This window comes from Homo sapiens, chromosome 9 (genome assembly GCF_000001405.40).
Source record: "Homo sapiens chromosome 9, GRCh38.p14 Primary Assembly".
Lineage (NCBI taxonomy): Eukaryota > Metazoa > Chordata > Mammalia > Primates > Hominidae > Homo > Homo sapiens.
In genome coordinates, this window is record NC_000009.12 from 137,933,023 (window position 1) to 137,949,215 (window position 16,193).

The window sequence follows — 16,193 nt, forward strand, 5'->3', positions numbered from 1 at the left end:
CCCAGGTTCGAGCGATTCTTCTGCCTCAGCCTCCTGAGTAGCTGGGACTACAGGCGCGTGCCACCACGCCCGGCTAGTTTTTTGTATTTTTAGTAGAAATGGGGTTTCACTGTGTTAGCCAGAATGGTCTCAAATCTTCTGACCTCATGATCTGCCTGCCTCGGCCTCCCAGAGTGCTGGGATTACAGGTGTGAGTTTTTTGTATTTTTAGTAGAAATGGGGTTTCACTGTGTTAGCCAGAGTGGTCTCAAATCTCCTGACCTCATGATCTGCCCGCCTTGGCCTCCCAAAGTGCTGAGATTACAGGTGTGAGTCACCGCGTCCGGCACATTGATGACTTTTCAAGGTTCCAAGGACCGGACCAGAATTTTCGCTTCTGTTAATACAAAGTGGCACCTGCAATTTTAGCTCTGTGTACATTTATATTGGGCCCCAAATTGGTTTCTGAGGGGATGCAACTCCAGAAAGGTTGCTCAGATGGGATTGGAGTAGGTTTACTGCTTATCCTGTCATTGTAACCCTTGTCATTTCCATGATTTTGAATTCATGTATGTCATCCAGGCTCATTAGTTTGAAGAGAGTTCCTCCTTTGTAGTTAGGGTGATAGGTCATTTCCTTAAGGGCCCAAGATTGGGCTGGGATCAGGATGGCAGTATATTTAGATGATGATGGAGATAAACAAAACCAACAGTCCTTTGCCAGGGCTGGGCTGGTGGTATTTAAGTCTTTGTGTTAAATTTAAAGTTCTTAATAAATACCCAGAATCCACTAATTGCTGGAGGGGTAAAGGGAAGCTCTGTTGTGAAATAAAGCTGATTGCTAGTAAGACATGGTTCCTGTATACACAGGCTGTGGGTGACCATTATGGAACAAAAAAAAAATTACTTATTTGTTATTTTGTCCTATAGAATGGGAACTTCAGGGGGTGGATACCTATGCTGTCAGGAATGCTTGTTATAAAAATGAATTGAAACACTTTGGTTAATTATTACAAAGGAAGTGATTCCATCCATTTTGAATAAAACAAATTGTAAAAATATAAAAAATAGCTACCAATATCCAGCTTACGATAAGTATGCAACAAAGACACCAAGGAAAGTTGGTAGGCATTTACTTATTTTTCGGCTGTCTTTTAAACAGGTACTTCACTGTTCCCACAGGTTCACAGGTGTAGTGGCTGATAGGAGCTTCAGGTTCCAGGTCCAGGGCTTCAGTTATTGCAGGCTTGACCCTGGAAAGATGGATCCAACTACCTAATCCTAGTACTTTGACCACAGAAGGCTTGTCCAGCACCACTGAAAATGGTCCCTTCCATTTGGGTTGCAATAGTTGAGCAGGTGATCCCTCTTTCCATGTTTTAACAAGTACCTGATTTCTCATTTTGGAGATCATGGCAGACGGGAGGCAGGACTAGATTGCAGTTCCCACTCGGATGGCCAGAGCAGCCTGTGGAGGATTGTATCGTGAACTTTTGCTCCAGAATGACTGCAGAAATAAATCAGGAAAGCCGAGAGAACCCATAGACCCTCTGAAGGAAGCGGATTGCTCCAGCAGGACCTGGGAGATACCCAAAATACTGTGCTGGTATCCACAGCTGAGAGACCCACAGACAGTTCATATCACAGGACTCTGTGCAGACAACCCCTAGTACCAGCCCAGAACCCGGTAGACTTGCTGGATGGCTAGATCCAGAAGAGAGACAACAATCACTATAGCTCAGCTCTCAGGAAGCCACAGCTCTAGGAAAATGGGGAGAGTACTACCTACATCAAGGGACCACCCCATGGGACAAAAGAATCTGAACAACAGCCTTGAGCCCTAGACCTTCCCTCTGACAGAGCCTACCAAAATGAGAAGGAACCAGAAAACCAACTCTGACAATATGACAAAACAAGGTTCCTTAACACCCCGAAGAAATCACACTAGCTCACTAGCAATGGGTCCAAACCAAGAAGAAATCCCGGATTTACCTGAAAAAGAATTCAGAAGATTAGTTATTAAGCTAATCAGAAGGCACCAGAGAAAGGCAAAGCCCAATTTAAGGAAGTCAAAAAATGATACGAGAAATGAGGGGATAAATTTTCTTTTTTTTCATTATACTTTAAGTTCTAGGGTACATGTGCACAACGTGCAGATTTGTTGCATATGTATACCTGTGGCATGTTGGTTTGCTGCACTCGTTAACTCATCATTTACATTACATATTTCTCCTAATGCTATGCCTCCCCCATACCCCCCACCCCATGACAGGCTCCGGCGTGTGATGTTCCCTGCCCTGTGTCCAAGTGTTCTCATTGTTCAATTCCCACCTGTGAGTGAGAACATGCGGTGTTTGGTTTTCTGTCCTTGCGATAGTTTGCTCAGAATGATGGTTTCCAGCTTCATCCATGTCCCTACAAAGGACATGAAATCATCCTTTTTTATGGCTGCATAGTATTCCATGGTGTATATGTGCCACATTTTTCTAATCCAGTCTATCATTGATGGACATTTGGGTTAGTTCTTAGTCTTTGCTATTGTGAATAGTGCCACAATAAACATATGTGTGCATGTGTCTTTATAGTAGCATGATTTATAATCCTTTGGGTATATACCCAGTAATGGGATCACTGGGTCAAATGGTATTTCTAGTTCTAGATCCTTGAGGAATTGCCCACTGTCTTCCACAATGGTTGAACTAGTTTACACTCCCAACAACAGTGTAAAAGCGTTCCTATTGCTCCACATCCTCTCCAGCACCTGCTGTTTCCTGACTTTTTCTTTTTTTTTTTTGACGGAGTCTCACTCTGTTGCCCAGGCTGGAGTACAGTGGCATGATCTCGGCTCACTGCCGCCCAGGCCGGAGTGCAGTGGCACGATCTTGGCTCACTGTCGCCCAGGCTGGAGTGCAGTGGCACGATCTCGGCTCACTGCAGCCTCTGCCTCCTGGGTTCACGCCATTCTCCTGCCTCAGCCTCCTGAGTAGCTGGGACTACAGGCACCTGCCACCACGCCCGGCTAATTTTTGGTATTTTTTAGTAGAGACGGGGTTTCACCGTGTTAGCCAGGATGGTCTTGATCTCCTGACCTTGTGATCCGCCCGCCTCGGCCTCCCAAAGTGCTGGGATTACAGGCGTGAGCCACTGCGCCCGGCTGTTTCCTGACTTTTTAATGACCGCCATTCTAACTGGTGTGAGATGGTATCTCATTGTGGTTTTGATTTGCATTTCTCTGATGACCAGTGATGATGAGCGTTTTTTCATGTGCCTGTTGGCTGCATAAAGGTCTTCTTTTGAAAAGTATCCTTTGCCCACTTTTTGATGGGGTTGTTTGATTTTTTCCTGTAAATTTGTTTAAGTTCTTTGTGCATTCTGGATATTAGCCCTTTGTCTGATGGGTAGATTGCAAAAATTTTCTCCCATTCTGTAGGTTGCCTGTTCACTCTGATGGTAGTTTATTTTGCTGTGCAGAAGCTCTTTAGTTTAATTAGATCCCATCTATTTCGGCTTTTGTTGCCATTGCTTTTGGTGTTTTAGTCATGAAGTCCTTGCCCATGTCTATGTCCTGAATGGTATTGCCTAGGTTTTCTTCTAGGATTTTTATGGTTTTAAGTCTGACATTTAAGTCTTTAATCCATCTTGAATTAATTTTTGTATAAGGTGTGAGGAAGGGATCCAGTTTCAGCTTTCTATATATGGCTAGCCAGTTTTCCCAGCACCATTTATTAAATAGGGAATCCTTTCCCCATTTCTTGTTTTTATCAGGTTTGTCAAAGATCAGATGGTTGTAGATGTATGGTGTTATTTCTGAGGCCTCTGTTCTGTTCCATTGGTCTGTATCTCTGTTTTGGTACCAGTACCATGCTGTTTTGGTTACTGTAGCCTTGTAGTATAGTTTGAAGTCAGGTAGCGTGACGCTTCCAGCTTTGTTCTTTTTGCTTATGATTGCCTTGGCAATGTGGGCTCTTTTTTTGGTTCCATATGAACTTTAAAGTAGTTTTTTCCAATTCTGTGGAGAAAGTCATTGGTAGCTTGATGGGGATGGCATTGAATCTATAAATTACCTTGGGCAGTATGGCCATTTTCACAATATTGATTCTTCCTATCCACAAGCATGGAATGTTCTTCCATTTATTTGCGTCCTCTTTTATTTCATTGAGCACTGGTTTGTAGTTCTCCTTGAAGAGGTCCTTCACTTGAGGGGGTAAATTTTCAATGAAATAGAGTGCATAAATAAAAAACAATAAAAACTTCAGGAAACAATGGATGCACTTAGAGAAATGTAAAATGCTCTGGAAAGTCTCAGCAATAGAATTGAACAAGCAGAAGAAAGAACTTCAGAGCTCGAAGACAAGGTTTTTGAATTAACCCAATCTAACAAAGGCAAAGAAATAAGAATAAGAAAATATGAACAAAGCCTCCAAGAAGTCTGGGATTATGTTAAACGACCAAACCTAAGAATAATTGGCGTTCCTGAGGAAGAAGAGAAATCTAAAAATTTGGAAAATGTATTTGGGGAAATAATCAAGGAAAACTTCCCTAGCCTTGCTAGAGACTTAGATGTCCAAATACAGGAAGCTCAGAGAACATCTGGGAAATTCATTGCAAAAAGATAATCTCCCAGGCACATTGTCATCATATTATCTAAAGTTAAGATGAAGGAGGCTGGGTGCTGTGGCTCACACCTGTAATCCCAGCACTTTGGGAGGCCAAGGTGGGCGGATCACCTGAGGTTGGGAGTTTGTGACCAGCCTGACCAACATGGAGAAACCCCGTGTCTACTAAAAATAGAAAAAATTAGCTGGGAATGGTGGTGCACGCCTGTAATCCCAGCTACTCGGGAGGCTGAGGTAAGAGAATCGCTTGAATTTGGGAGGCGAAGGTTGTGGTGAGCCAAGATCGCACCATTGCACTCCAGCCGGGGCAACAAGAATGAAACTCTGTCTCAAAAAAAAAAAAAAAAAAAAAAAAAAAAAAAGACAAAGGAAAGACTCTTAAGAGCTATGAGCCAAAAGCACCAGGTAACCTATAAAGGAAAATCTATGAAATTAACAGCAGATTTCCCAACAGAAACACTACAAGCTAGAAGGGATTGGGGCTCTATCTTCAGCCTCCTTAAACAAAACAGTTATCAGCCAAGAATTTTGTATCCAGCAAAACTAAGCATCATAAATGATGGAAAGATAGTTTTTTTCAGACAAACAAATGCTGAGAGAATTCGCTACTACCAAGCAAGCACTACAAGAATTGCTAGAAGGAGCTCTAAATCTTGAAACAAATTTTCAAAATACACCAAAATGGAACCTCCTTAAAGCATAAATCCAACAGGATTTATATAACAATAACAATTTTAAAAACCCAAGGTATTCAGGAAACAAGTAGTATGATGACTAGAATAGTATCTCACATCTCAATATTAATGTTGAATGTAAATGGCCTAAATGCTCCACTTAAAAGATACAGAATGGTGGAATGCATAAGGATTCACCAACCATCTGCTCCCTTTAAGAGACTCACCTAACACATAAGACTCATAAACTTAAGGTAAAGGTGTGGAAAAAGACTTTCCATGCAAATGGACACCAAAAGCAAGCAGGAGTAGCCATTCTTATATCAGACAAAACAAACTTTAAAGCAACAACAGTTAAAAAAGACAAAGAGGGACATTATATAATGATAAAAGGCCTTGTACAACAGGAAAATATCACAATCCTAAATATATATGCACCTAACACTGGAGCTCCCACATTTATAAAACAATTACTAGTAGACCTAAGATATGAGATAGACAGGCCAGGCACAGTGGCTCATGCCTGTAATCCAGCACTTTGGGAGGCCGAGGTGGATGGATCACCTGAGGTCAGGAGCTTGAGACCAGCCTGGCCAACATGGTGAAACCCTGTCTCTACTAAAAATACAAAATAGCCAGGTGTGGTGGCAGGCTCCTGTAATCTCAGCTATTTGGGAGGCTGAGGCAGGAGAATGGCGTGAACCCAGAGGTGGAGGTTGCAGTGAGGCAAGATAGTGCCATTGCACTCCAGCCTGGGTGACAGAGCGAGATTCTGTCCTAAAAGAAAAAAAAAGAGAGAGAAATGAGATACACAGCAACACAATAATAGTGGGGAACTTCAGTACTCCACTGACAGCACTAACAGGTCATCAAGGCAGAAAGTCAACAAAGAAACAGTGAATGTAAACTATACCCTGGAACAAATGGACTTAACAGGTATTTACAGAACATTCTAGCCAACAACTACAGAATATATATTCATCAGTGTATGGAACTCTCTTCAAGATAAACCATATAAATAGGCCACAAAATGAGCCTCAATAAATTTAAGAAAATTGAAATTATATCGGGCACCTTCTGAGACCACAGTGGAATAAAACTGGAAGTCAACTCCAAGAAGAACCCTCAAAACCATGCAAATACATGGAAATTAAATAACCTGCTCCTGAATGATCATTGGGTCAAAAAATGAAATCAAGACGGAAATTTAAAAATTCTTCAAACTGAGGCCGGATGTGGTGGCTCACACCTGTAATCCCAGCACTTTGGGAGGCTGAGGCAGGTGGATCACGAGGTCAGGAGATCGAGACCATCCTGGATAACATGGTGAAACCCCGTCTCTACCAAAAATACAAAAAAAAAATTAGCTGGGCATGGTGGCAGGCACCTGTAGTCCCAGCTACTCAGGAGGCTGAGGAAGGAGAATGGCATGAACCCGGGAGGCGGAGCTTGCAGTGAGCTGAGATCACGCCACTGCACTCTAGCCTGGGCAACTGAGCAAGACTCCGTCTCAAAATAAATAAATAAATAAATAAATAAATAAATAAATAAATAAATAAAAAAAAATAAAATTCTTCGAACTGAATGACAGTAGTGACGCAACCTACCAAAACCTCTGGAATACAGCAAAGGCAGTGCTAAGAGGAAAGTTCATAGCCCTAAATACCTACATCGAAAAGTCTGAACGAGCACAAACAGACAATCTAAGGTCACACCTCAATGAACTAAAGAAACAAGAACAAATCAAACCCAAACCCAGCAGAAGAAAGAGATAACCAAGATCAGAGCAGAACTAAATGAAACTTAAACAAAAAAACACAAAAGATAAATGAAACAAAAAGCTAGTTCTTTGATAAGGTAAATAAAATTGGTAGCCCATTAGCAAGTTTAACCAAGAAAAAAAGAGAGAAAATCCAAAGAAGCTCAATTAGAAATGAAATGGGAGATATTACAACTGACACCACAGAAATACAAAAGATTTTTCAAGGCTACTGTGAACACCTTTACCCATGTAAACTAGAAAACCTAGAGGAGATGGATAAATTCCTGGAATGATACAACCCTTCTAGCTTAAATCAGGGAGAATTAGATACCCTGAACAGACCAATAACAAGCAGTGAGATTGAAATGGTAATAAAAAAATTACCAACCAAAAAACTCCAGGACTAGATGGATTCACAGTAGAGTTCTATCAGACATTCAAAGAGAATTGGTACCAATCCTATCGACACTATTCCATGAGATAGACAAAGAGGGAATCCTCCCTAAATCGTTTTATGAAGCCAGTATCACCCTAATATCAAACCTGGAAAGGACATAACCAAAAAAGAAAACTACAAACCAATATCCCTGATGAACATAGATGTAGAAATCCTCAACAAAATACTAGCTAACTGAATACAACAGTATATCAAGAAGATAATTCACCATGATCACATGGTTTTCATACCAGGGATCAGGGATGGTTTAACATACTCAAGTCAATAAATGTGATACACCACATAAACAATTAAAGACAAAAATCACATGATCATCTCAATAGATGTGGAAAGAACCTTCGACAAAATTCAGCATCCTTTATGATTAAAACCCTCAGCAAAATCGGCATACACAGGACATACCTCAATGTAATAAAAGTCATCTATGACAAACCCACAGTCAACATAATACAGAATGGGGAAAAGTTGAAAGCATTCCCTTTGAGAACTGGAAGAAGACAAGGATGCTCACTCTCACCACTCCTCTTCAACATAGTAATGGAAGTCCTAACCAGAGCAATCAGACAAGAGAAAGAAAGAAAGGTTATCCAAATTGGGAAAGAGGAAGTCAGACTGTCGCTGTTTGTTTGCTGATGATATGATTGTTTACATAGAAAACCCTAAAAACTCCTCCAGAAAGCTCCTAGAACTGATAAAAGAATTCAGCAAAGTTTCCAGATACATAATTAATGTACACAAATCAGTAGCTCTTTTATATACTAACAGTGACCAAGCTGAGAATGAAATCAAGAACTCAACCCCTTTTACAATAGCTGCAAAACAAACAAAAAACAGAAAGCCAAAAAACTTAGGAATATACCTAACCAAGGAGGTGAAAGACCTCTACAAGGAAAACTACAAAACACTGCTGTAAGAAATTATAGGTGACACAAACAAATGGAAACACATCCCATGCTTATGGATGGGTAGAATCAATATTGTGAAAATGACCATACTGCCAAAAGCAGTCTACAAATTCAATGCAGTTCCCATCAAAATACCACCCTCATTCCTCTCAAATTTGGAGGCATCACATTACCCAACCTCAAACTATAGTATAAGGCCATAGTCACCAAAACAGCATGGTACTGGTATAAAAATAGGCACATAGGCCAATGACAGAATAGAGAACCCAGAAATAAACCCAAATACTTACAGCAAGCAAAAAGATAAAAGTGGAGAAAGGACACACTATTCAACAAATGGTGTTGGGATAATTGGCAAGCCACATGTAGGAGAATGAAACTGAATTCTCATCTCTTACCTTATAAAAAATCAACTCAAGATGGATCAAGGACTTATCTAAGACCTGAAACTATAAAAATTCTAGAAGATAACATTGGAAAAACCCTTGTAGACATTGGCTTAGGCAAGGACTTCATGACCAAGAACCCAAAAGAAAATGCAACAACAACAAAAAAGATAAATAGCTGGGACTTAATTAAATCAAAGAACTTTTGCACAGCAAAAGAAACAGTCGGCAGAGTAAACAGACAACCCACAGAGTGGGAGAAAATCTTCACAATCTATACATCTGAGAAAGGACTAATATCCAGAATCCACAATGAACTCAAACAAATTAGCAAGAAAAAAAATCCCATCAAAAAGTGGGCTAAGGACATGAATAGACGATTCTCAAAAGAAGATATACAAATGGCCAACAAACATGGAAAAATGCTCAACATCACTAATGATTAGGGAAATGCAAATCAAAACTACAATGTGATACCAGCTTACTCCTGCAAGAATGGTGGTAATAAAAAAATTTAAAAATAATAGATATTGGCATGGATGCGGTGAACAGGGAACAGTTGTACACTGCTGGTGGGAATGTAAACTAGTACAACCAGTATGGGAAACGATGTGGAGATTCCTTAAAGAACTAAAAGTAAAACTACCATTTGATCCAGTAATTTCACTAGTTGGTGTCTACCAAGAGGAAAATAAGTCATATGAAACAGAGACTTGCTCACGCATGTTTACAGCAGCACAATTTGCAATTGCAAAAATGTGGAACCAACCCAAATGCCCATCAGTCAACCAGTGGATAAAGAAACTGTGATATATATATGATGGACTACTACTCAGCCATAAAATGGAATGAATTAGTGGCATTCACAGTGACCTTGATGAGATTGGGACTATTATTCTAAGTGAAGTAATTCAGGAATGGAAAACCGAACGTCGTATGTTCTCACTCATAAGTGGGAGCTAAGCTGTGAGGATGCAAAGGCATGAGAATGACACAGTGGACTTTGGGGACTCAGGAAGAAAGGGTGGGGTGAGAGATAAAAGACTACAAATTGTGTGCAGCATACACTGCTTGGGTGATAGGTGCACGAAAATCTCATAAATCACCACTAAAGAACTTACGCATGTAACCAAACACCATCTGTTCCCCAATAACCTATGGAAATAAATTTTTTTTTAAGTACCTTATCTCCTGGCCTGATTTTGGGTTGCTGGTTAGTTGCCAGTGTGGGGAGTCTTTGAGTTTCAAACTTTTTTTTTTTTTTTTTGAGTTTCAAACTTTTGTAAAGCCTGCTGAAATGGTCCCAGGTTAACTAGGTATTTCACTAAAGTGGCTGTTTCTGGATCAGTATTTAGATCATTAGTTAAAAATGGCCTCCTATATAACATTTCATATGGGCTCATATTAATTTTTGCTCTGGGGAAATTATGGACTCTTACGAGAGCTGTGGACAGCAAGTTGACCCAAGTTTCTGATGTTTCCTGACATAGCTTAGCTAACACCCATTTTAGAGTTTGATTAGCTCTTTCCACTTTTCTAGAGGATTGAGGCCTCCATGCTGAATGTAAATAGTATTTGATTCTGAGAGCCTTAGCAACCCCTTGAATTATTTGAGAGATAAAGAACGAGTCATTATCACTTTGGAGGCTTTGAGGTAACCCAAACTCGGGAAATAGTTCTTTGAAGAACCTTCACAACTTCATTGGCCTTCTGTGTTTTGGTGTAGGGTAAGCTTCAATCCAGCCAGTAAAGGTATCTGTAACCTGCACGGACCTTGGGGGACTGAACAAAGGATGACGAATGCGGGAATAAAGATAAAGACAAAGAGTATATTTGGAAGAAGGGGTCAGGGGGCTCCTTGCTTCTAGTGAACAAGGGCCCTGAGCTTTACACAGCCCTCCGTATTTATTAGGCAAAAGAGATAGCGAGAAGAGGAGGGGGTGGTTGTCAGCAGGCAGTTTGATTCACAGCAGGCTTGCAAGACCGCATTCTTTGAACAATAGGCTCTAGATGTCCCAGTAGGTAACCGCAATGAGCACGGTGCCAGGGAGTGATTGCCCTCAGCAAACCTCCTGGTTGCAGGCACAGTCATGAGTTTGCCCACATCCTGCTTTCATGATAAACAAGTTTGCTGTTTGATCATATAACCTCCAGTGGAATACTGAGTTGGTCATGTCTCTCTGGCCTTCAGCTCCCTACAGGTGTCTATTAGTACTAACAAATCTTGTATCCTCTACAGGCTGGCATTGTCCTTATGGCCCTTTGGGTTTCCTTTGCGTGCTCTTTGGGCATTCAGGGCATTGCCAGTGATGGCTGTCATAATTTTTGCTTGCCATTTTTCTTTACTCTGTTCCCCTTTTCCTTCCTTCATGATTGTTATACATCATGAAAGCAATATCAAGAAGCTGATTTTGATTAGTTTGTGGGCCCATCTGTAGCTTTTGGAGCTTATATCTAATGTCTGGGGCAGATTGGATTAGTATATTTTTTAAAGGCTTCCTCCAGTCTGCCATGAAACATGGCTGGATTTTCTTTCTTGCCCAGTGTAACTTCCTTTACCTTATCATAATTTACTGCCTTATTCTCTTTCTCTTCCTCCAAGGAGAGCCTCAAGAAACTTAGCCTGGTGGTTCATTCCCTCGGGTGTGTTATAGTCCCAATTAGGATCAGTAATGGAGATTATGTCTGGGCCTAAGTGATTGCCCTGAGAGTTTCAAGGAAATAAGTCATCTGCTTCCTGGCGGGCAGCCTCAAAGATTTGTTTCTTTTCCAAGGGGCTGCAATAGGTTGCTAGAATGAATTGAACATCTCCCCTGAGAGATCAAAGGCTAAGGTCAAAGTTTGGGACCCATCTCCAAATTCCTAGGGTTCTCAGAATAGCTTCCTAGCTTTTCTGTATGTTGTTTTATATCAGTTATAGAAAAGGGGGACTGCACTAGGACTGGCCCCTCAGCTCCTGCTACTTCCCTAAGGGGTAGCAGGGCTGGAGGGGGAGATTGTTTCTCTCCAAATATGAGGAGGACTTAGCTGGAACCCCGAATTTTGCTCTTGGGTTTGAGCCTCAGGAGCACTTGGCAAGGAGTTATACAGGGGTGGTTGCACTTCCCTCTGAGAGACAGGTGGCCTTTGTAAAAGGGGGTCATCTACAATATCTAGTTCTGCCTTAAGACCTTCCTTTTCAGGGCAGGTTCCAGGACTTTTGCAGATTGTTGGGTTTTGGTATAGGGCCATGAAGACCTGTACGTATGGGATTTCTGACAATTTACCCTGCCTTTTGCAAAACAGGTCTAATTGCAGGATGGTGTTGTAATTAAGACTTCCCATGACCACCAATTATTCCTGGCTGTCCAGCTGATATTGGGGCTATACAGTATTATAGTAGAAAATCAGACGTTTTCTCCTTAGATTGTCAGGGTTCAACTGATTCCAGTGGTTGATGATGCAGCCAAGCAGGGAATCAGAGGGAATGGATGGAGAGTTGCCCACAGTGGTCTGGAAGAGAGAAGAGGACTTTCAAAAGTGGAGGTCCTACTAGGTGACCCAGATTTTACCTGGGGTGGCCATCTGGAAAAACTCTGGGTCTTGTCTGCGGTTCCCAAGGGCATCCCCACCTCTGGGGCCCCATCTTAGTTTGTCAGATATGTCTGACCTTAGATGGGTGCCAGCACCACTTTGGAACGGTTCCCTTCACAATCAGTGGCCCACTATGAGTTTCCTCTTGTCCCTGGCTGAAGGCCCCGACTTCTAGCATCCTTATAATTTGATAAGGCCAAGCTTTTAACTTCAGCCAATATGTTCATACACAGAATCTCTTTTACAATTAATTTTCATAAGCCTACAACTTGTTCAAACCTTTGGATTTTTCCTATACCACTTAAAACAATCCTTTAACCCTCTAAACTTAGGCAACATAAATTATACAACATTTCTTGCATAATTTCACTTTCACAAATCTTTTTCACGACTTACCCAGATCATCTACGACATGCTTGGACTTTGTTACTTGTCCTAAACATCCCTATTTTATTTCTTTACTTTTATTATTATTATTATCATATTCCAGGCTGGAGTGCAGTGATGCCATCACAGCTCACTGCAACCTCCGCCTTCCAGGTTCAAGCAATTCTGCTGCCTCAGCCTCCCAAGTAACTGGGACAACAGGCGTGCATCACTGTGCCTGGCTAATTTTTTTTATATTTTTAGTAGAGACAGGGTTTCACCATATTGGCCAGGCTGGTCTCGAACTCCTGACCTCGTGATCCACCTGCCTTGGCCTCCCAGAGTGCTAGCATTACAGGTGTGAGCCACTGCACCCAGTCATATCCCTCTTTTAAAACAACAGTCATTTTACTTTAGGACAAGAATTTACCATACAAGATGCCTTTTTATATAATATAAAATCTCTTTTATGTATAAACTTCTTTGCATAGCTAGGGGGCTAAGTGGGTTTCTTTTGTCCTTAGCCAGTCGAATAGATCAAGTAAGAGAAGGGGTCAAAATGCCTAGGAGACATTATCTTTTGTCTTTACTAGCTAACTCTACAGGAGAATTTAGCATAAGAAAAGAGGGTTTAAGTTCCCTGAAATGTGTGAATTCCTCCTTGACAAGCTGCCACTGCCAATTGTGTCACACGTAGGGATCAGGGAGTATAACCAGGAAAGACAGAAAAGAGTCCTTCCCCCTTCCAGGCAGGGCAGCTATCCCTATCATTCCTCGGCCTTCAGGTAACACTGGAGAGTGGCCCCAGCAAGTTGCCCTCAGTTACTGGGGAGCTACTAGGAAATGACTGCTGAAAAACTGAGAAAAAAAAAAAAAGGGAAAGGACTCAGGTCCCTCATGTGAACCAGGCAGTGGTGGTCAGGTGCTTCCATATGGATACCTTTCAGTCTCTCCGTAGAGTGGCCCCAGCCAGAGACCTGCAGTTGCCTCCATGCTTAGGTGCTCTCTGTCAAGTGTCCTGAGTTGGAAAGAGAGACAGAAAATGCTTCCCCTGTATGGAGCAGAGAGGAAAAGGGAAAATGAGAAGAAAAATAACTCCCAAACTTTGGGCTTGCCTCCTGGCTGGCTTGCCAAAATACGTTACCGGGGGGGTCTTGACTATGAGTCATCCAGGTTCTTGGCATTTTGAACAAAGAATTGGACAAAATGCACAAAACAACAAAAGAATGAAGCAGTGAAAGCACAGACTTATTGAAACTATGCTCCACAGAGTGGGAGTGGGCTCAAACAAGTTGCTCAAGAGTGTTAGTTACAGAATTTTCTGGAATTTAACTACTCTCTAGAGGTTTCCCATTGGTTACTTGGTTACACTCTATGTAAATGAAGACTGGGCCTGCTACCAGTCTGATTGGTTGCAGGAGGCAACCAATCAAAGGCTGAAGTGAAGTTATAAAGTTAAACCCTATGCTAATGAAGACTTGGCCCACGAGCAGCCTGATTGGTTGTGGGAGGTGACCAATCAGAGGTACTTTCCATTTTTTCATCTGTGACACAGTGGAAGGGGGGTGGGCCGCAAAGGGAGTAGCTGCTGTTCTTTTGTTACTTGGATGTGGAGTGGTGTTTTCCTTTTGATTCAGTTCTAGGAAGTCAGCACAAATCGGCCTTAGGGTCCCTGCCTCCAGACCCTATTCTTCTGCCTCAATAGTACTATAATTTTTGCTTCATCTGTCAAACATAATTTAAAAAACTCAAAAGGAGAAACAAATCCAGTTACCTATATTTTTACACTTTCCATTTTTCTTCCTTCCTTCCTAATAGTGATTCAATTTTTACTCATTTCCTTTCTGTTTAGAGACCTTTCATTATTCATTTTTTCTTAGGAGAGTTCTGCTGGTGACAAATTCTCCTGGTTTCCCTAGTTTTTCATTTGAGAATGTCTTGATTTCCCAAAGGATATTCTTGGTGGGTATAGGTGTCTGGGTTGACCGTTCTTTTCTTTCAGCACCTGAAAAATATTATGCCACTTCCTTCTGGCCTCCATGGTTTCTGATGAGAAACCATTTGAATTGTTTTCCCCATATAGGTATGGTATCATTTTTTTCTGCTGCGTTCAAGATTTTTTCTTTGTCTTTAGTTTTCAGAAGTTTGGCTATAATGTGTTTGCCTGGGGTTTGCTGAGCTTCTTAAATCTGTATGTTTGTGTCTCTTGCTAAAGTTGAGAAGTTTTCAGCATTCCTTTTTTTTTTTTTTTTTTTTTTTGAGATGGAGTTTCACTCTGTCACCCAGGCTAGAGTGCAGTGGCACAATCTCGGCTCACTGCAAACTCCGCCTCCCAAGCTCAAGCGATTTTCCTGCCTCAGGCTGTGGAGTAGCTGGGATTACAAGCATGCACCACCATGCCTGGCTAACGTTTGTATTTTTAGTAGAGACAGGGTTTCGCCATGTTGGCCAGGCTGGTCTCGCACTCCTGACCTCAGGTGATCTGCCTGCCTCGGCCTCCCGAAGTGCTGGGATTACAGGTGTGAGCCACCACGCCTGGCCGTATTTCTTTAAATACTGTCAGCTTTGTCCTTTTTCACCTGTCTTTAGTGCTCTGATGACATGAATATCAGATCATTTGTTATAGTCCCATGGGTTTTTGAGGTTCACTTTTCTCTCCTTATCAGAATGGATAATTCTATCGTTCTTTGTTTTCTTACTGTTCACTGATTCCTTCCACATCCCCTTCATTCTCTTGTTATGCATTTTCATTGAGATTTTCGACTTTTTTTTTAGCTCTAAATTTTCCCTTTGGTTCTGTAATCCAAAAAGTTATCAGAGACAAGTCTCAATCAATTCAGAATTTCATTTTGGCAAGGTTAAGGACATGCCCAGAATAAAAAAAAAACACTTTGGAGAAAGGTATTTGGTGTGTTTGTGGTGTGTGTTGTGTCTGGTGTGTGTGGTGTGCATGTGTGTGTGTCTGGTGTGTGTGTGGTGTATGTGGTGTGTGTAGTGTGTGTGGTGTATGTGGTGTGTGCCTGTATCTGGTGCATGTGGTATGTGTGTGGTGTGTGTGTGTGTGGTGTGTGCATGTGTGTGTGGTGTGTGCACTTGTGTCTAGTGTGTGTATGTGGTGTATTTGTGTCTAGTGTGTGTGGTGTGTGTGTCTGATGTGTGTGGTGTGCGTGTGTTTGTGGTGTCTCTGTGGTGTGTTTGTGTATGGTCTGTGTGGCATGCATGTGTATGGTGTGTGTCTGTTGTGTGTCTGGTGTTTGGTGTGTGTATGTGTGTTTTGTGTGTGTGGTGTATACGTGTGTGGTGTGTGTGTGGGTGTGAAGTATGTGTGTAGTGTGTGTGGTGTGTGTGTGGTGTGTGCATGTTTGTGGTGGCTGTGTGTCCAGTGTGTGTGTGTGTGGTGTATCTGTGCATGTGTGTGGTGTGTGCGCTTGTGTGTCCAGTGTGTGTGTATGGTGTATGTGTGTCTGGTATGTGTG

The 16,193-nt window shown here is 41.7% G+C and overlaps 1 protein-coding gene and 1 long non-coding RNA gene across 4 annotated transcripts in view; one reads left to right on the top strand and one right to left on the bottom strand.

Annotated features, from left to right (window-relative positions):
- CACNA1B (calcium voltage-gated channel subunit alpha1 B) overlaps positions 1-16,193 on the top strand; it is a 246,838-nt gene that overhangs the window by 55,241 nt on the left and 175,404 nt on the right. The window lies entirely within an intron of this gene.
- CACNA1B-AS1 (CACNA1B antisense RNA 1) lies at positions 10,608-14,038 on the bottom strand. Of its 2 annotated transcripts, none has more exons than NR_132978.1 (3): positions 13,862-14,038; positions 13,658-13,735; positions 10,608-12,270 (listed from the first exon to the last, which is right to left on the bottom strand). It is a non-coding gene; the product is annotated as a CACNA1B antisense RNA 1 (long non-coding RNA). The 2 variants fall into 2 exon arrangements; NR_132977.1 differs by having other exon boundaries at positions 13,658-13,768.